At 52.5% G+C, this 18,958-nt stretch overlaps 1 protein-coding gene across 9 annotated transcripts in view, besides 2 other annotated features; it reads left to right on the top strand.

The window, feature by feature from the left end:
- SEZ6L2 (seizure related 6 homolog like 2) overlaps positions 1-16,229 on the top strand; it is a 28,392-nt gene extending 12,163 nt beyond the window's left edge. For 4 of the 9 annotated variants that reach the window (NM_001243333.2, NM_012410.4, NM_001114100.3 and 1 more), the window contains 11 exons: positions 1,639-1,802; positions 7,324-7,524; positions 8,963-9,101; positions 9,921-10,117; positions 10,438-10,632; positions 13,659-13,850; positions 13,957-14,148; positions 14,645-14,683; positions 14,862-14,979; positions 15,105-15,201; positions 15,660-16,229. In NM_001243333.2, coding sequence (NP_001230262.1) covers positions 1,639-1,802; positions 7,324-7,524; positions 8,963-9,101; positions 9,921-10,117; positions 10,438-10,632; positions 13,659-13,850; positions 13,957-14,148; positions 14,645-14,683; positions 14,862-14,979; positions 15,105-15,201; positions 15,660-15,689 — 1,564 coding nt within the window. In that variant the 3' untranslated portion in view covers positions 15,690-16,229. The remainder of the gene's footprint in view (positions 1-1,638; positions 1,803-7,323; positions 7,525-8,962; positions 9,102-9,920; positions 10,118-10,437; positions 10,633-13,658; positions 13,851-13,956; positions 14,149-14,644; positions 14,684-14,861; positions 14,980-15,104; positions 15,202-15,659) is intronic. The other 5 variants (NM_001114099.3, NM_001388363.1, NM_201575.4 and 2 more) reach the window with 3 other exon arrangements.
- Positions 8,701-9,200: an enhancer, noted in NCBI's record as "H3K27ac hESC enhancer chr16:29889509-29890008 (GRCh37/hg19 assembly coordinates)". NCBI's record gives its function as "activates a minimal SCP1, AML or CMV promoter by ChIP-STARR-seq in primed H9 embryonic stem cells {active_cell/tissue: H9 hESC(primed)}" and the evidence as "EXISTENCE:reporter gene assay evidence [ECO:0000049][PMID:30033119]".
- Positions 9,201-9,702: an enhancer, noted in NCBI's record as "H3K27ac hESC enhancer chr16:29889007-29889508 (GRCh37/hg19 assembly coordinates)". NCBI's record gives its function as "activates a minimal SCP1, AML or CMV promoter by ChIP-STARR-seq in primed H9 embryonic stem cells {active_cell/tissue: H9 hESC(primed)}" and the evidence as "EXISTENCE:reporter gene assay evidence [ECO:0000049][PMID:30033119]".

Here is an 18,958-nt window from a genome sequence, read left to right as displayed (position 1 = left end):
CAGAGCTTGCAGTGAGCCAAGATCGCACCACTGCACTCCATCCTGGGAGACAGAATGAGACTCCGTCTCAAAAAAAAAAAAAGAAGTCCCCACCTCAGGGAAGTAGGGAGGCTAAGTGGGGACTTGGACACAGCTGGGGTGGATCCTGGTTGAGATATGCATCACAGCTTAGTCCTAAGCCTTTTTTTTTTTTTTTTTCTTTTTTTGAGACAGAGTTTCACTCTTGTTGCCCAGGCTGGAGTGCAGTGCCGCAGTCTTGGCTTACCGCAACCTCTGCCTCCCGGGTTCAAGTGATTCTCCTGCCTCAGCCTCCTGATTAGTTGGGATTACAGGCATGCACCACCATGCCCAGCTAATTTTGCATTTTTAGTAGAGATGGAGTTTCTCCATGTTGGTCAGGCTGGTCTCAAACTCCCAACCTCAGGTGATCTGCCCACCTTGGCCTCCCAAAGTGCTGGAATTATAGGCGTGAGCCACCACACCCAGCCAGTCCTAAGACTTTCTTAGGAAGTGTAGCTGTGAAACCTTAGACAAATCACTTAACTTCTTTGTGCCTCAGTTTCCTCATCTGTAGAATGGAGATAACAATACTTCCCTCTTCAGGTTTCTGTGAGGATAAGTGCTGAAATTATATAAAGTCCTTAGAATGGCACCTGGGACAATAAGCACTATAAAAGTGTCTGCTATCCTCTTTTTTTTTTTTTTTTAAGATGGAGTCTCACCCTGTCGCCCAGGCTGGAGTGCAGTGGTGCGATCTCGGCTCACTACAACCTCTGTCTCCCAGGCTCAAGCTATTCTCCTGCCTTAGCCTCCCGAGTAGCTGGGACTACAAGCGTGTGCCACCACGTCCGGCTAATTTTTTGTACTTTTTTTTTTAGTAGAGTTGGGGTTTCACCGTGTTAGCCAGGATGGTCTCGATCTCCTGACCTCGTGATCCACCCACCTCAGCCTCCCAAAGTGCTAGGATTACAGGCATGAACCACTGCACCTGGCCTTATTTATCTATTTATTTATTTTTGGAGACAGACTTTCGCTCTGTCACCCAGGCTGGAGTGCAGTGGCACGGATTCAGCTCACTGCAACCTCCACCTCCCAGATGCAAGCAATTCTCCTGCCTCAGCCTCCTGAGTAGCTGGGATTATAGGCATGCACCACCATGCCTGGCTAATTTTTGTATTTTTAGTAAACATGGGGTTTTACCATGTTGGCCAGCCTGGTCTTGAACTCCTTGACTTCAGGTGATCCACCCGTCTTGGCTTCCCAAAGTGCTGGGATGACAGGTGTGAGCTGAGCCACCATGCCTGGTCAAGCATCTGCTATCTTCATCATCATTATCATCCTTTACCTAGCAACTTGGTATCTCAGCCCTGCCACTACTTGCTCTGTGACCTTGGACAGGTTACTTGATCTTTCTATGCCCTAATATCCTCATCTATAAAATAAAGGATAATAATAGTGTCTGACTCAAGAGTTCTTGTGAAAATTAAATGAGATAGAATGTGTAAGGGCTTAGAAGAGTGCGTGGCATATAGTTATGTGTGATGATAACAGCTATAAAAATAAGTTAGGAAAGCAGGCAAGGGGTGAGGCAGCTTGTGAGGGAGATTGAGCTCCTGGTCACGTTTCTGTCCATCCCAGGCTGATGGTGCGCTCAGGGGGCAGCCCCCTATCCCCCGTGATCTATGATTCGGACATGGACGATGTCCCCGAGCGGGGTCTCATCAGTGACGCCCAGTCCCTCTACGTGGAGCTGCTGTCAGAGACACCTGCCAATCCCCTGCTGTTAAGCCTTCGATTTGAAGGTAAGTGACCCACTCCCCCACAGGACCCCAACCGCCACACCTTCCCCTCTTCCTGACACCAAGCATAGTCGGAAGCACAAACTCTATGCCTGTTCATCTCCGTGCTGGGTTCCTTGAAACGTGACTCGCTTCCCTGCCCCAAAACTGCAAGGATCTCTTCTAGGGACCCCTTCTCCTTCCCCCAGGCAGCCTTCTCTGTTTAAGCTTCATGAATGTCTGGATCCAGGTACATAGCCCAGAGACCAGTTATCTCAGTATCTCGGTTCTTTCCTCTGTGCTGGCTTCATCCTTAGGCACTTTCCCTGTGTGATGGACATAGCTGCCGACTTACATACCACCAACTTAATTTTTATTTTATTTATTTATTTATTTATTTTTTGAGACGAGTCTCGCTCTGTCACCCAGGCTGGAATGCAGTGGCGCCATCTTGGCTCACTGCAAGCTCCGCCTTCCGGGTTCACGCCATTCTCCTGCCTCAGCCTCCCGAGTAGCTGGGGCTACAGGCACCCGCCACCGCGCCCGACTAATTTTTTTGTATTTTTAGTAGAGACGGGGTTTCACCGTGTTAGCCAAGATGGACTCGATCTCCTGACCTTGTGATCCGCCTGCCTCGGCCGCCCAAAGTGCTGGGATTACAGGAGTGAGCCACCGCGCCCGGCCTTTATTTATTTTGAGACGGAGTTTTGCTCTTGTTGCCCAGGCTGGGGTGCAATGTCATGATCTCGGCTCACCGCAACCTCTGCCTCCCGGGTTCAAGCGATTTTCCTGCCTCAGCCTCCCGAGTAGCTGGGATTACAGGCATGCGCCACCATGCCCAGCTAATTTTGTATTTTTAGTAAAAATGGGGTTTCTCCACGTTGGTCAGGCTGGTCTGGAACTCCCGAACTCAGGTGATCTGCCCGCCTCCGCCTCCCAAAGTGTTGGGATTACAGGCGTGAGCCACTGCGCCTGACAGTTTTTAGTTTTTATTTATTTTTATTTATTTATTTATTTTGAGACAGAGTTCCTCTCTGTCGCCCAGGCTGGAGTGCAGTGGCGCGATCTCAGCTCACTGCAGCCCCCCTCCTCCAGGTTCAAGCGATTCTCATTCCTTAGCCTCCCGAGTAGCTGGGATTACAGGCATGCATCACCACGCCCAGCTAATTTTTGGGTTTTTAGTAGAGACGGGGTTTCACCATGTTGCCCAGGCTGGTCTTGAACTCCTGGGCTCAAGTGATTCGCCCATGTGGGACTCCCAAAGTGCCAGGATTACAGGTGTAAGCCACCTCCTCCAGCCCATACCACCAACCGAGTAACCTCATCAGAGAGAACACTCATATATTTCCTGAGAGCTCAGCAAAAATGCCAGGAGAGGCGTTCATTGACCTGACTAAGATCCTGGTTGGCCTTAGCCTGAGCCAATCACTGAGCTAGGAGAAGGGAGTATTGGGATTGGCTAATCTGCCTCACGTGGCCTTCCCTGGTGGGCTCCAACTTAACCTAGTGGACTGGGAGTGGGGAAGGCCTGCGTCCCAAAATTAAAATTGGGATGCCGTTACCAGAAGAAGAGGAATGAATGTGAAGGGGTAGAAACAAGGAAGTGATCATGGAGGAAGAGGCATTTCACCTTGGCCTTAAAGGATAGAGGGTATTTTATTATTATTATTATTATTATTGAAATAGGTCTTGCTTTGTCGCCCAGGCCGTAGTGCGGTGGCCCGATCATGGTTCACTGCAACCTCAACCTCCTGGGCTCAAGTGATCCTCCTGCCTCAGCCTCCCTAGTAGCTGGGACCACAAGCGTTCGGCACCATGCCTGGGTAATTTTTACATTTTTTGTAGAGACAGCATCTCACTATGTTGCCCAGGCTGGTCTCCAACTACTGAGCTGAAGTGATCCTCCCACCTCGGCCTCTCAAAGTGCTAGGATTACAGGCGTGAGCCACCCTGCCCAGCCAACAGAGGATATTTTAAAAGAGGAAGATTGAGGCCAGTTGTGGTGACTCGTGTCTCTAATCCCAGTACTTTGGGAGGCCAAGGTGGGATGATTGTTTGAGGCCAGGAGTTTGAGAACCAGTCTGAGCAACATAGTGAGATCCTGTGTCTACAAATTAAAAAAAAGTAATAATTATCCAGGTGTGGTGGCACACACCTCTAGTCCCAGCTACATGGAAGGTTGAGGTGGGAGGATCACTTGAACCCCACTTGAACCCCAGAGGTTGCAGTGAGCTATGATTGCACCACTGTGCTCCAGCCTGGGCAACAGAGCAAGACCCTGTCAAAAAAAAAGAAGAAAAGAAAAGAAAAGGAAAGAGAGGAACTTTGAGAAACAGCAAGTAGGGAAATGCCTGGTATGTCTGGGAAACAGAATTTCATTGTGGCTGAAACAGAGGAGTTGTATAAACAGTAGCAAGAGAGAGACCAAAAAGATGAAATGCTTAGAGATAGGAGGGTCTAGTGTTTGATATGAATCATGGGAGAAATGGAATTGGCACTCGGCTGTGATGGATGGGTAGGATTTGGACATGATACCTTGCAGGTTAAGTAACAGTGAAATAGAACAGTGGATCTGCAAAAATGAATTGCGGGATAGATTCTGGGAGTGTTAAAGTGCAAACAGCACAGATCTTTTACCGAAAATAGCAAGTTGTGAGTCCTGACTCCAGAGTTGTAGGCCACTGCTATTCTATGAGTTTAAGATTCTTCACTGTGGCCAGGCACAATGGCTAACGCCTGTAATCCCAGCACTTTGGGAGGTTAAGATGGGAGGATCACTTGAGCCTGGGAGTTGGAGACCAGCCTGGGCAACATAGCAAGACCTTTGTCTCTACAAAACAAAACAAAACAAAAAATTAGCCAGGTGTGGTGGTGCACACTTGTGGTCCCAGCTGCTTGGGAGGCTGAGGCAGGAGGATCGCTTGAGCTCAGGAGGTCAAGGCTGCTGTGAGTTGTGATCCCACCATTGCACGCTCCAGCCTAGGTGACAGAGCAAGGCCCTGTCTCATTTTTTTCCTTTTTTTTTTTTTTTTGAGATGGAGTTTCGCTCTTGTCACCCAGGCTGGAGTGCAATGGCGCAATCTCGGCTCACTGCAACCTCCGCCTTCCGGGTTCAAGTGGTTCTCCTGCCTCAGCCTTCTGAGTAGCTGGGATTACAGGCATGTACCACCACGCCCAGCTAATTTTTGTGTTTTTAGTAGAGACGGAGTTTCACCATGGTGGTCAGGCTGGTCTCAAACTCCTGACCTCAGGTGATTCACCTGCCTCAGCCTCCCAAAGTGGGGGGATTACAGGTGTGAGCCACTGCATCTGGCCTCATTTTTAAAAATAAATAAAATAACCCGGGCACAGTGGCTCATGCCTGTAATCTCCGCATTTTGGGAGGCTGAGGCAGGTGGATCACTTGAGCCCAGGAGTTTGAAACCAGCCTAGGCAACATGGCAAAGCCCCATTTCTACTAAAAACACAGAAATTAGCCAGGTGTGGTAGTACGTGCCTGTAATCCCAGCTACTCAGGAGGCTGAGACATGAGAATGGCTTGAACCTGGGAAGCCGAGTTTGCAGTGAAGTGAGATCATGCCACTGCACTCCAGCCTGGGCGACAGAGCGAGACTCAGTCTCAAAAAATAAAAAAATAAAATATTAAAATAAAATTAAAAATCTCAAAAAAAAAAAAAAAAGGCCGGGTATGGTGGCTCACGCCTATAATCCCAGCACTTTGGGAGGCTGAGGCGGGTGGATCACCTGAGGTCAGGTGTTCGAGACCAGCCTGGCCAACATGGTAAAACCCCATCTCTACTAAAAAAATACAAAAATTAGCCGGGGGTGGTTGTGGGTGCCTGTAATCCCAGCTACTCGGGAGGCTGAGGCAGGAGAATCACTTGAACCTGGGAGGCAGAGGTTGCAGTGAGCCGAGATCACACCATTGCACTCCAGCCTGGGCAACAAGAGCGAAACTCCATCCCAAAAAAAAAAAAAAAAAAAAAAAAGAATTCCTCATTGGTATCATAGGCACCTAAATCTTAACTTACAGGGAGTTTTGCAGCTAAGATCCGATCAGGTGGGCAGAAACTCAAATGCTCTACAAATGTTCACTTTTGCTGACTTGAAGTAAAAACTGAGTAGTTTTTGCATTAGCTGAAATTTTGGGTTTCAGCAACAGCATGGATGATCAGAATCCAACTGTTATTTCTGAGGAGACAATACACCTACACCAGCCAGTTCTCTGAAGGCACCCCTCCCCTTACCCGCTATCTCTGCTGTTTCCAGAGCCAAGTATCTGTGGCTGGGAATCAAACCATCTGGGTTTGAGACCTGCTTTTGCCATTGTCTTTTGTGTGACCTTGAGCAAGTGGCTTTTTGGTCTATGGACCTCCGCTCTGTAGAATGGTGGCTGGGATTTGGCTAGCTCAGTGGCTTCCCTCCAGAGGCCAGGGAGGCAATATAAATATGTGAATGAGGAGTGTTAGAACTTTTTTTGACAGTCTGGAGAGTGAATGCTAAACCCAGTGGCATTCAGTTTTTAAAAACCCACCAACGCCAGGGCAATGGCTCATACCTGTAATCCCAGCACTTTGGGAGGCCGAGGCCAGCGGATCACCTGAGGTCAGGAGTTCGAGACCAGCCTAAGTAACATGGTGAAACTCCATCTCTACAGAAAAAAAAAAAAAATCAGAAAATGAGCTGCTGGGTGGGGTGTGCATGCTTGTAGTCCCAGCTACCAGAGAGGCTGAGGTGGGAGGATCACTTGAGCCTAGAAGATCTAGGCTGCAATGAGCTGTGATCACACCACTGCACTCCAGCCTGGGCAACAGAGTGAGACCCTGTCTCTAAAAAAATTAAAAAAAAACCCAGGCTGGGCGCAGTGACTCATGTCTGTAATCCCAGCATTTTGGGAGGCTGAGGCAGGCAGATCACTCGAGGCCAGGAGTTCAAGACCAGCCTAGCCGACATGGTGAAACCCCTGTCTCTACTAAGAATACAAAAATTGGCCAGGCACGGTGGCTCATGCCTGTAATCCCAGCACTTTGGGAGGCCGAGGCAGGCAGATCACCTGAGGTCGGGAGTTTGAGACCAGCCTGATCAACCTGGAGAAACCCCGTCTCTACTAAAAATACAAAAAATTAGCCAGGCGTAGTAGCACATGCCTATAATCCCAGCTACTCAGGAGGCAGGAGAATCGCTTGAACCCAGGAGGCGGAGGTTGCGGTGAGCCAAGATTGTGCCATTGCACTCCAGCCTGGGCAACAAGTGTGAAATTCCATCTCAAAAAAAAAAAAAATAGCTGGGCATGGTGGTGCACGCCTGCAATCCCAGCTACCTGGGAGGCTGAGGCATGAGAATTGCTTGAACCTGGAAGTCAGAGGCTGCAGTGAGCCAAGGTTGTACCACTGCACTCCAGCCTGGGCGACAGCACAAGACTGTTTAAAAAAAAAAAAAAGCCCAGTGAGTGGCCAAAGAACACCCCAATTCAGCCCACATCCCCAATTTAAGATCCCTTGAGGCCTGTCCTAATGCTTAATTGTTATGACTGACTCCTTCCCAGCCTTTGAGGAGGATCGCTGCTTCGCCCCCTTCCTGGCACATGGAAATGTCACTACCACGGACCCTGAGTATCGCCCAGGGGCACTGGCAACCTTCTCGTGCCTCCCAGGATATGCCCTGGAGCCCCCTGGGCCCCCCAATGCCATCGAATGTGTGGATCCCACAGAACCCCACTGGAACGACACAGAGCCGGCCTGCAAAGGTGAGCCTTCCTTGTCGCAGGCATGTCCTTCAGTCCACGTTGCCCCCTGAACTGGGGATCCCAGCAAGGCCGTTCAGAAAGGAAGGCTGCACATCCAGACTTCATCCACCCAAGCCTTGGGTAAATCCCTGTCCCTTCAGAGGCTGTTTTCTTAGCTGAATAACTGCTGGGCTTGTTACTGAATGCAGGGGTCACAAACCCAAATGTCTTCAAGAGCGAGAACTGCTGTTGGGTTAAGTCACAGATTGGGCAGGCTGGAGAGTGGGCAGGGTTTGTTAAGAGCAGGACTGGATATTGAACACAACAGGACCTAGATGCGGCAAGAAACAGGTAGATCATGGCTGGGCACGGTGGCTCACGCCTGTAATACCAGCACTATGGGAGGCTGAGGCGGGCGGATCACCTGAGGTCGGGAGTTCGAGACCAGCCTGATCAACATGGAGAAACCCTGTCTCTACTTAAAATACAAAATTAGCTGGGCATGGTGATGCATGCCTGTAATCCCAGCTACTCAGGAGGCTGAGGCAGGAGAATCGCTTGAACCCGGGAGGCGGAGGTTGCGGTGAGCCGAGATCGCAGCACTGCACTCCAGCCTGGGCAAGAAGTGTGAAACTCCGTCTCAAAAAAGAAAGAAAGAAAGAAAAAAGAAACAGGTGGATAAAGCCGGGAGCAGTGTCTCACGCCTGTAATCCCAACACTCTGGGAGGCTCAGGCAGGCGGATCACCTGAGGTCAGGAGTTGGAGACCAGCCTGGTCAATAGAGTGAAACCCCGTCTCTACTAAAAATACAAAAATTAGCCGGGCATGGTAGTGCGTGCCTGTAATCCCAGCTACTTGGGAGGCTGAGGCACGAGAATCGCTTGAGTCTGCGAGGTGGAGATTGCAGTGAGCCGGGATTGCGCCACTGCACTCCAGCCTGGGCGACAGAGTGAGACTCTGTCTAAAAAAATAAAAATAGGGGCTGGACCTGGTGGCTCACGCCTGTAATCCCAGCACTTTGGGAGGCCAAGGCGGGCAGATCACGAGGTCAGGAGATCGAGACCATTCTGGCTAACACCGTAAAACCCCGTCTCTACTAAAAATACAAAAAAAAAAAAAAAGAAAAAAGAAAAAAAAATAGGGTGTGGTGGCGGCGCCTGTAGTCCCAGCTACTCGGGAGGCTGAGGCAGGAGAATGGCGTGAACCAGGGAGGCAGAGCTTGCAGTGAACCAAGATCGCACCACTGCACTCCAGCCTGGGCGACAGAGAGACTCCGTCTCAAAAAAAATTTAAAAATAAATAAATAAATAAAATAAAAGAATAAAAGAAACAGGTGGATCATAGGTAATAGGAAACAAGCGAGGTGATGTGGTGCACGCATCACGAGTGGTGAGGACTGTGGAGAAATGAAGACAGCATGCCCACCTGGGTCCTGAACCTGACACCCCTTTTTCCCTAGCCATGTGTGGAGGGGAGCTGTCGGAACCAGCTGGCGTGGTCCTCTCTCCCGACTGGCCCCAGAGCTATAGCCCGGGCCAAGACTGCGTGTGGGGCGTGCACGTCCAGGAAGAGAAGCGCATCTTGCTCCAAGTTGAGATGTATGTTTGGGTCCTGCAGAGGGTGCGACGGGTGTAGGCTCAGCAAAGTGTGGTATGCCAATGCAGTAGCCTGCATTCTGAGCCTGTCTGGCTCTTGCGTATCTATCCAGAATTCGGTGGATAGGCTGGTGCACTAAGGGTACAGGATAGACGTGAGAGAGCTGGGCTCAAATCACATATTAGCCAGGCAACCTCGGACAAATAAATAGGGCAATGCAGCCTTCCTTAGGGGCCACTGTGAACAAGGGGCTCTGGCCTGGTGCCTCTCACTCTTTGGAGGTTTCTGAGGCTTCCCCTGGAGCTATTTCCACGGACACAGACCCAAACTGTTGCGTTAACACCAGCAAGTTGGGGAGGTCTGGGGAGAATCCAGTGAGCTGAATTGGTATGAGAGTGTCATGAGATGGCACAGAAGCTGAAGTGGGCGTGGCTTCAAAGCAGGTACTCAGGCGGGGCCTAGAGTTGTGTAGGGCGTTAGCGAATTTGGTCTGTGATTGGCCAGAGCTGGAGTTGGGCTAGGCTGTGGATCTCATGGTGATGGAGGAGGGAGTGGACAGTGGGCGGAGTTAGTAATGTGCAAGCTTAGGGATTGGGTAGTAGGACATGGGAGGAGCCATAGAATAGGGGAACCCTGAGGCACTAGCATAGGAGAAACCATGGTTGGTCAAAACGGAGGCGGCGCCAGACCTGGGATAGGAGAATATGGGCGGGGCTGGAGAGTAGGAGGGGCTACCAATGAGCAGAGTTGAGGATGGGGCAGAGCTGGATGGGAGGGGCCAGTCGCAGCCCCGCCCCATTGCCTGGTCTCACCCCCTGCAGATTGAATGTGCGGGAAGGGGACATGCTGACGCTGTTCGACGGGGACGGTCCCAGCGCCCGAGTCTTGGCCCAGCTGCGGGGACCTCAGCCGCGCCGCCGCCTTCTCTCCTCTGGGCCCGACCTCACACTGCAGTTTCAGGCACCGCCCGGGCCCCCAAATCCAGGCCTGGGCCAGGGCTTCGTATTGCACTTCAAAGGTACTGAGGGATAGAGTCCCGGGATGGGCAGGGGTCGGGCAGGCCAGAGATCCCGGGAGGTGGCCGGTCGTGGTGGCTCACGCCTGTTATCCCGGGGCCTTGGGAGGCCGAGGCGGGAGGATCGTTTGAAGCCAGGAGGTTGAGGCTGCAGTGAGCTATGCTTGTACCACTGTACTCCAGCCTGGGCGACAGGAAACCCTGTCTCTAAGAGAGAGAGAGAGAGACAGATCCCGGGAGGGGGCACAGAGCAAAGCCTCCGAGGCTGGAAGGGAGCCCGCAGTTAAAACGCAGCCTCCAAACTCGCCTTCCCTCCCCTGCAGAGGTCCCGAGGAACGACACGTGCCCCGAGCTGCCACCTCCGGAGTGGGGCTGGAGAACGGCATCCCACGGGGACCTGATCCGGGGCACGGTGCTCACCTACCAGTGCGAGCCTGGCTACGAGCTGCTAGGCTCCGACATTCTCACTTGCCAGTGGGACCTGTCTTGGAGCGCCGCGCCGCCCGCCTGCCAAAAGAGTGAGCCGGCCCCGCCCGCGTCCCCTCGGCCCCGCCCCTTCCCTGTGGGCCCCGTCGTCGGCCTGTCCTGTCCCGACCCCCGTGCTTTCTGGGTTCCATCCCTTCGCTCGGGGTCCTTCCTGGATCTTCTTCAAGGCCTGCCCCCATGCCCTTTAGTTCTCACTCCTCCGCCCGGTTCCCCGAAACTGTCCCCTCTGGGTCTCCCTCTCATCTTCTCCGGGCTGCATCCCTCTTTCTTGCACCGACCTGGGCTCGGTCCCTGTTTCCTCGTCTCACGGCCCCGCCCCGTCCCCTCCTGACCCCTCCTCTGCGGCATCTGAGTTTGGCCCCTAAAAGGGCTCCGACCAGGTTCCCACTGGGCTCCCCGGGTCCACACTTGGCTCCACCTTCCTGTCCTACGCCCCGCCCCAATCCCGCAGTCCTATCAGTTGAAATTGTAGGGAGCCACTTTGCTAGGACCAAGGCTTGTCAGAGCACTTGGTTTATTTGAATGCCATCATTGAAGCCCCGTGCTGGGTTGGGGTTAGGCGAAGGGGGTTCAAGCCCCTCCATACTCTTATGGAGCTCGCAGTCTGGGAGGGATACGCAGGGTGGTGATCACTGGGTGACTTTGGGCGAGGCACTTAGCATTTCTGAGGCTTGGTTTCCCCATCGGCGAAGTAGGACTGAGGTTGTGAAGAGCAGATGGAAAGTTCACAGGGCGCATGCTGCCCTGGGCGTGGCGAAGTGCTGTGGGGAGAGCAGTGGGCTAATTTTCTCAGGGCTGGGGCAGGAGATTTCACAGAGGAGGTGACATTTAAAGGAGCTGGGAGTGTGTATCTTTTAGAAGAGCAGAAAGGGCCAGGTGCGGTGGATCACCTGAGGTCTGGAGTTCGAGACCAGCCTGGCCAACATGGTGAAACCCCGTCTCTACTAAAAATAAAAAACTATCTGGGCATGGTGGCATACGCCTGTAATCCCAGATACTCAGGAGGCTGAGGAAGGAGAATCGCTTGAACCTGGGAGGTGGAGGTTGCAGTAAGCTGAGATTGTGCCATTGCATTCCATCCTGCGCCACGGGAGTGATACTCCATCTCAAAAAAAAAAAAAAGAAAGAAAGAAAGAAAGAAAAAGAAAATTGAAGAGCAGAAAGGAATGGCAGCTGGTTACTTTCTCCAAATTTTAGGAAGCCAGCCCCAAGGACATGGGGCTGTAGTTCCATGTGGCATCTGGAAGCAATGGTGGGACCAAGGGGAGAAGCTTCAGGTAGCCAGATTTGGGCTGGACAAAGCTTCCCGCCCCTGGAAGGATTCACAGGATATCAGGCCTGGATGGGGCTGAGAGTTCGGCTGGCCCCGCTGCCTCGGGCTCAGGAGGGAACCTGCCCAAGGCAGCAGATTGAGCCTGAAGGTGTGCCAGGACCCACATATCTGAGTCCCTGTCCAGTGCTCCATGGCTGTGACCCTGGGCAGATTCCGGCTCTGCCACTCCCTGGCTGAATGACCATGGGCCAAGTCCTTTGACCGCCCTGAGCCCTGGGCTCCAAGGGAGATGACAGTGACATTGGCCTCTCAGGATAATCAGGATTAAATATTATGTTTGTGCCAGGTGTGGTGGCTCACATCTGAAATTGCAGTGCTTTGGAAGGCCAAGGTGGGAGGATCACTTGAGCCCAGGAGATTGAGAACAGCCTGGGCAACATAGTGAGACCCTGTCTCTACAAATAATAAAAAATATAGCCAGGCATGGTGGTATATGCCTGTAGTCCCAGCTACTCAGAAGGCTGTGGTGCGAGAATTGCTTAAGCCCAGGAGTTTGAGGCTGCAGTGAGCCGTGATCTCACCACTGCATTCCAGCTTGAGTGACAGAGCAAGTTCTCGTCTCCAAAACAAAGAATTATATTTGGGGCCAGCCGTGGTGGCTCACACCTGTAATCCCAGCACTGGTGGAGGCTGAGGTGGGTGGATCACCTGAGGTCAGGAGTTCGAGACCAGCCTGGCCAACATGGCGAAACCCTGTCTATACTAAAAATACAAAAATTAGCTGGGCATGGTAGCGAATGCCTGTAATCGCAGCTACTCGGGAGGCTGAGGCAGGAGAATCTCTTGAGTCCAGAAGGCAGAGGTTGCAGTGAGCCGAGATGCGCCACTGCACTCCAGCCTGGGCGACAGAGCGAGACTCCCATCTCAAAAAAAAAAAAAAAAAAAAAAAAAAAAAAAAAAAAAACAAGCACACACACAAAGAATTATATTTGTTTGTAAAACATTTAGCAGGGTACGTAGCTCAGGCTTATATACAAGAAATGGCTATGATTATGATTCCTTCACAACAGGGTTGTAAACTCAAACGCCTGAAGGCAGGGAGTGTATGTGAGTGAACTGGGCTGGGCATAATGAGAATACTGGGGACAGGAGAGCTGGGCCCCCTCTAAAGAGGGCAGCTGCTGTTCCACAGACTACAAGCCATGTTGGGCTCACCCTGCTGGGATTTGGCTAGTATGCTCTGGTATGGTGGTTAAATATTTTGAATTTCACCCCAGGATAGGGGCTTGGGGTTTCCCCAAGCAAACTGTTTACTAAACGAAGCCTGAAATATAACATACGTTGAATTTTGAAAAAAATTAAGCCTGTCATTCTGGCCTGAAAATAGATGCACTGCATTTTAAGTTTTTCCAATTCATGCTCTCTTCCTTCTGAGGAATTGGTGGGAAGTGCGTGTGTGTGCAGAGGTGTTCAGAGGAAACAGCCTGAGGCTCAGGCCTCTCCCAGCCCTAAGCTTCTGGGAGATTTTCTTTTATTTTTTTTAGACTGGGTCTCACTCTGTCACCCAGGCTGGAGTGCAGTAGCGTGGTCACCATTCACTGCAGCCTCGACCTGCTGGGTTCGAGCGATCATCCCGCCTCCAACTCCTGAGTAGCTGGAACCACAGGAGTGCGCCACCACTCCTGGCTAATTTTTCAATTTTTTGTAGAGATGGGGTCTCTCTGTGTTGCCCAGGCTGATCTTTGAAGGCCCTCGCTCCCCCTGACCTTGTTCTTCTGCCACCAGTCATGACTTGTGCTGACCCTGGCGAGATTGCCAACGGGCACCGCACCGCCTCGGACGCCGGCTTCCCCGTTGGCTCCCACGTCCAGTACCGCTGCCTGCCAGGGTACAGCCTCGAGGGGGCAGCCATGCTCACCTGCTACAGCCGGGACACAGGCACACCCAAGTGGAGCGATAGGGTCCCCAAATGCGCCTGTGAGTCTGGGGCACACCCTGGGAGGGTGGCTGGGTAGCCCTGGGAGAGCCCGTCTGCCCCGTGCACAGTAGTGCAGCTGGCACGTGACTGGCATGCTCCCCGCAGTGAAGTACGAGCCGTGCCTGAACCCGGGGGTTCCCGAGAATGGCTACCAGACGCTGTACAAGCACCACTACCAGGCGGGCGAGTCTCTGCGCTTCTTCTGCTATGAGGGCTTTGAGCTTATCGGCGAGGTCACCATCACCTGTGTGCCCGGCCACCCCTCCCAGTGGACCAGCCAGCCCCCACTCTGCAAAGGTGCCTGGCCAGACAGGGCAGGAGGGGCACACCAGTGTCCGGGAAGTGACAGGGCTGGGAGAGTCAGGTAGCACATTTGAGACCAATGGGCGACCCCACAGAGCTCCCGGTTCTCCTCCTGTGGCCTCGTGTCCTCACGGGTGTGTCCAGAAGCCCTGGGTCGTGTGAGGTCATGGGATTGGCTCAGGGGTGTAGTAGAGGGGGCCTTGGCTTGGAAGTCCCTTGCTCTGAATAGGCCTCAGTTTCCCTATCGCTGACAAGTTCTAGTTTGGCTCAGACTGTCCAGGAACCCTGACTTTTTAGGGGTCTGGAGAAAGAGGACAAAGGCCCTGTGCTGGTCACTCCTCTCTCTTCCCCACAAAGGGAGAAAGTTGAGGTTGAGCAGAGGGCAGAGAGAACCAGGCTGTCCAGCCCAGCCCCACCGGGCTCCCGGCCCCTCCCAGCCTCCTCCCCTCCCTGGCTCAGACCCCATCCCCTCCCCCTCCTCTCCCTGCAGTTGCCTATGAGGAGCTCCTGGACAACCGAAAACTGGAAGGTCAGTGAGAGCACAGGTGGAGACCCAGGCTGGCCAGGTTGGGAGGGCAAGGCAGAGGCTGGGGCAGGAGGCCAGGCCTTGGAGGGATGAAGCCCAGGGTTTGAGGCCCAGGGCAGGAGGCTGGGAGAGCCCAGGACCGGGCCCAGCCACAGCTCACCGGCCTCTCCTCCTCCTGTAGTGACCCAGACCACAGATCCATCACGGCAGCTGGAAGGGGGGAACCTGGCCCTGGCCATCCTGCTGCCTCTAGGCTTGGTCATTGTCCTCGGCAGTGGCGTTTACATCTACTACACCAAGTAAGTAGCCTGCTTGGGGACTGCCGGCCAGGGCAGACGTCTTGCGAGCCTGGCACTGGAGCCTGGGTCAGGGGAGCTCAGGGGCTTACCTGTTGATAAGCTCCTCTGTCCTCTCCCTTTCCCAGGCTTCAGGGAAAGTCCCTTTTCGGCTTCTCGGGCTCCCACTCCTACAGCCCCATCACCGTGGAGTCGGACTTCAGCAACCCGCTGTATGAAGCTGGGGTAAGCACCTTGCCTGCCCCTGAAGAGCCACCACTTGGCTCTCCCAGGACTCCATAACCTTCTCGCAAGGTCTCTGGAATCTCTGTCTTGGGAATTTCAAACTCAGCTGCCCCCAGAGGCCATGTCAATGAGCATAGCAAGCCATGTGTATACAATAGGGAGTGGTGAGGACTGTGGCTAAGTGGAGGACTTGTGCCCCATCTCAAGAATACGGCTCTACCCCATAGTCGAAACTGAGGCACAATTGGCAGATCTTCCAATTATTCAAGACAAGCCAGAAATTCAGATTTTTGTGTCATTTTACGACACCGTAGGATGAACCAAACACATTCACTGGCCCCCCAGCCCCTAGAGGTCAATGTTACTTTAAAACCCAGGATCGTTGCCCCTCCTCCCATTCGGCTGCCTCTTCCACCCCTATCAGACTCCAACAACTGACCTGATCTCTCTGTCTTCAGGATACGCGGGAGTATGAAGTTTCCATCTGAACCCCAAGACTACAGCTGCAGGACCCAGGACGCCCCTCCCCTCCTCATTCGGGCAGAGGGAAATACGGGACCCGGTCTCTGCCTCCTGGCTGCCCTCCTCCCTGGCTGTGTAAATAGTCTCCCTATCCCACGAGGGGGCTTTGATGGCCCTGGAGATCCTACAGTAAATAAACCAGCATCCTGCCGCCCAAAGCCGCCTCTTCTCAGTTGCCAAACGAGGGGCCTGCCCCCCGCCCTACCGGCTTTTGGATTCTGGGAGGGGAACTCTGCCTCCCTGCAAATCTTGCAGCCCCTCCTGCCCAGGGCACCCCTCAAGGACTGCCCCCGATAGCTCTACTGTTCCCTTGGCCACGAAGGTGCCCCCCTCCCAGATGCCCTGGCCCTAGGCCTGACTCCGGCCAGGAGGGTCAGAAGAAGGACAAAGGGGAGAGCTGGGACAAGGCCTTGCCCCCTTCCTGCCATCTCCCCAACCCACAGTCTCTCCACCTTTGCTTCTGAATTCTTGTTTTTGAGCAATAAACAGAAAATCGCCACTTGTAATTGGGCCGGTGGAGTGTGGGGAGGTGGTCACCGAGCACTGGACCACTTCTCTGGAGAGAGGGCTGGGGAAAGGGGAACAATTTGAAAAAAAAAAAAAAAAAGGAAATGCGAAAGTGGGCAGAGGGCAGTGTCCGGGGGCCTGGCCTGAGGTAAAAAAGCCTGGCTTTAGGCTCAGCCTCTGTGAAGGCCTCCCTGCGACCAGCCTCACTCCAGGACGCAGTGACCTCTCCACCAGGCCTTCCTTGACATTGTGGGCCTCTTCCAGATGGGAGAGAACTGACAGGAGCCACCCGTCTTCTCTCGCTGCTGGGCAGGAGGCAAACAGCTTTCAATTTCTTTCTTTTTAGAGACAGGGCCTGGCTCTGCCGGCCAGGCTGGAATGCAGTGGTGCCATCACAGCTCACTGCAACCTCAAACTCCTAGGTTCAAGGGATCCTCCCGCCTCAGCATCCTGAGTAGCTGGGACTACAGGTGCAAGCCATGGTGCCTGCCTAATTTTTAAATTTTTTGTAGAAATGAGATCTTGTTACGCTGCCCGGGCTGGTCTCGAACACCTGGCCTCAAGCAATCCTCCTTCCTCAACTTCCCAAAGTTCTGGGATTACAGGCGTGAGCCACCAAGCCTGGCTTTTCAATTTGTCTTATGACCAGTTTGCCTAAAATTCACCCCCTTTGGAGAATTTTTGTATCCATTCAAGTACACCATTTCTTCCCCCCCCCCCAATCTTTTTAGTATTTTAGGCGTATCTGCTGTGACCCATCTACCAATTTGAACTTGTTTTATATCCTTGGGGGTGTCCTTTTCCACTTTATCTTTTTTTTTTTTTTTTTTCACTCTTGTCACTCAGGCTGCAGTACAATGGCGTGATCTTGGCTCACTGCAACCTCCACCTCCTGGGTTCAAGCCATTCTCCTGCCTCAGCCTTTCGAGTAGCTAGGATTACAGGCACCCATGCCTGGTTAATTTTTGTATTTTTAGTAGAGACCGGGTTTTGCCATGTTGGCCAGGCTGGTCTCGAACTCCTGACCTCAGGTGATCTGCCTGCCTGGGCCTCCCAAAGTGCTGGGATTACAGGTGTGAGCCACCTTGCCTGGCCTAATTAAAATTTTATATTTAAGCCGGGCATGGTGGCTCACGCCTGTAATCCCAGCACTTTGGGAGGCCGAGGCGGGCGGATTACGAGGTCAGGAGATCGAGACCATCCTGGCTAACATGGTGAAATCCCTTCTCTACTAAAAATACAAAAAATTAGCTGGGCGTAGTGGCGGGCGCCTGTAATCCCAGCTACTTGGGAGGCTGAGGCAGGAGAATGGCGTGAACCCAGGAGGCGGAGCTGGCAGTGAGCCGAGATTGCGCCACTGCACTCCAGCCTGGGCGACAGAGCCAGACTCCGTCCCAAATAAAATAAAATTTTATATTTAAATGCAATTAAACATTTTTAGGATACTTGAAAGGATGCTGAAATATTCAGAAAGGGGTGGACTTTTAGGAGAATGTGAGGCAAACTGATCTCAATAATAGCAAGCACTTTGTATGCATTATGTTGTTTTTTTGTCTTTTTTTTTTTTTTTTTTTTTTGCGACTGAGTCTTACTCTGTCACCCAGGCTGGAGTGTAGTGGTGCAATCTCAGCTCATTGCAACCTCTGCCTACTGGGTTCAAGTGATTCTCCTGCCTCAGCCTCCCCAGTAACTGGGATTACAGGAGCCTGCCACCACACCCGGTTAATTTTTTTATTTTATTAGAGACGGGGTTTCACTATGTTGGCTAGGCTGGTCTCGAACTCCTGACCTCAAGTGATCCACCCGCCTCAGCCTCCCAAGTGCTGGGATTACAGGCATGAGTCACCACGCCCGGCCTATGTTTTTTTCTTTAGAGACGGTGTCTCTGTAGTGTAGGCTGGAGTACAGTGGCACCATCATAGTTCACTGCAGCCTCAACCTCCTGGGCTCAAGTGATCCTCCAGCCTTAGCCTCCTGAGCAGCTGGGACTACAGATGTGCTCCACCACACCTGGCTAACTTGTTTACCTTTTTAGGGGTGGGGGTTCACTCTGTTACCCAAACTGGTCTTGAACTCCTGTCCTCAAGCGATCCTCCCGCCATACTGTCCGGTGTGTCTCTGGGATTACAGGCATGAGCCACCATGCCTGACTCAATTATGTCTTTTAACTCTCTAAAGGACCCTACGGGACAGGGATCATTTATTAATCCATTTTTTCAGATAAGGAAACTAAGGCTCAGAGATGAGAATTGACTTCCACAGGAGGCTCCAATAAATGGCCAAACTTTGTGCAGTTTGCATTTAGCAATGCAAATGCTAAATGCTAAAATGAATTTAGCCTACTGCAAAGCCTACTGCACTGCTTTCTGGCTAGTAATGAGTGTGATATGTTCTCACAGGCATGAAGCCCAAAGCTCAGAGGGGCAAGGCCATAGCTCAGTGTCCCCATCCCCAATGGTGGTGGCAGAGGTGGCTCCTCAGAAGCAAGAGGAGTCCTGCCAGATGCCACAGACCTAGACCTTAAGGTGCTGGCGTGTGGCCAGGAGGCTGGATTTGGACCCATGAGCTCATCTGTGTCAACAGGCCGGGTGTGGTGGTTCACACCAGTAATCCCAGCACTTTGGGAAGCCGAGGCAGGAGGATCATTTGAGGCCAGGAGTTCAAGACTAGTCTGGGCAACACAGTGAGACACCGTCTCCACACACACAAAAAAATTTTGAGACGGAGT

Source organism: Homo sapiens, chromosome 16, assembly GCF_000001405.40.
Source record: "Homo sapiens chromosome 16, GRCh38.p14 Primary Assembly".
NCBI classification, from domain to species: domain Eukaryota; kingdom Metazoa; phylum Chordata; class Mammalia; order Primates; family Hominidae; genus Homo; species Homo sapiens.
Note: the sequence above shows the minus strand (reverse complement) of the source record. Positions and strands in the feature narration are given on the sequence as shown.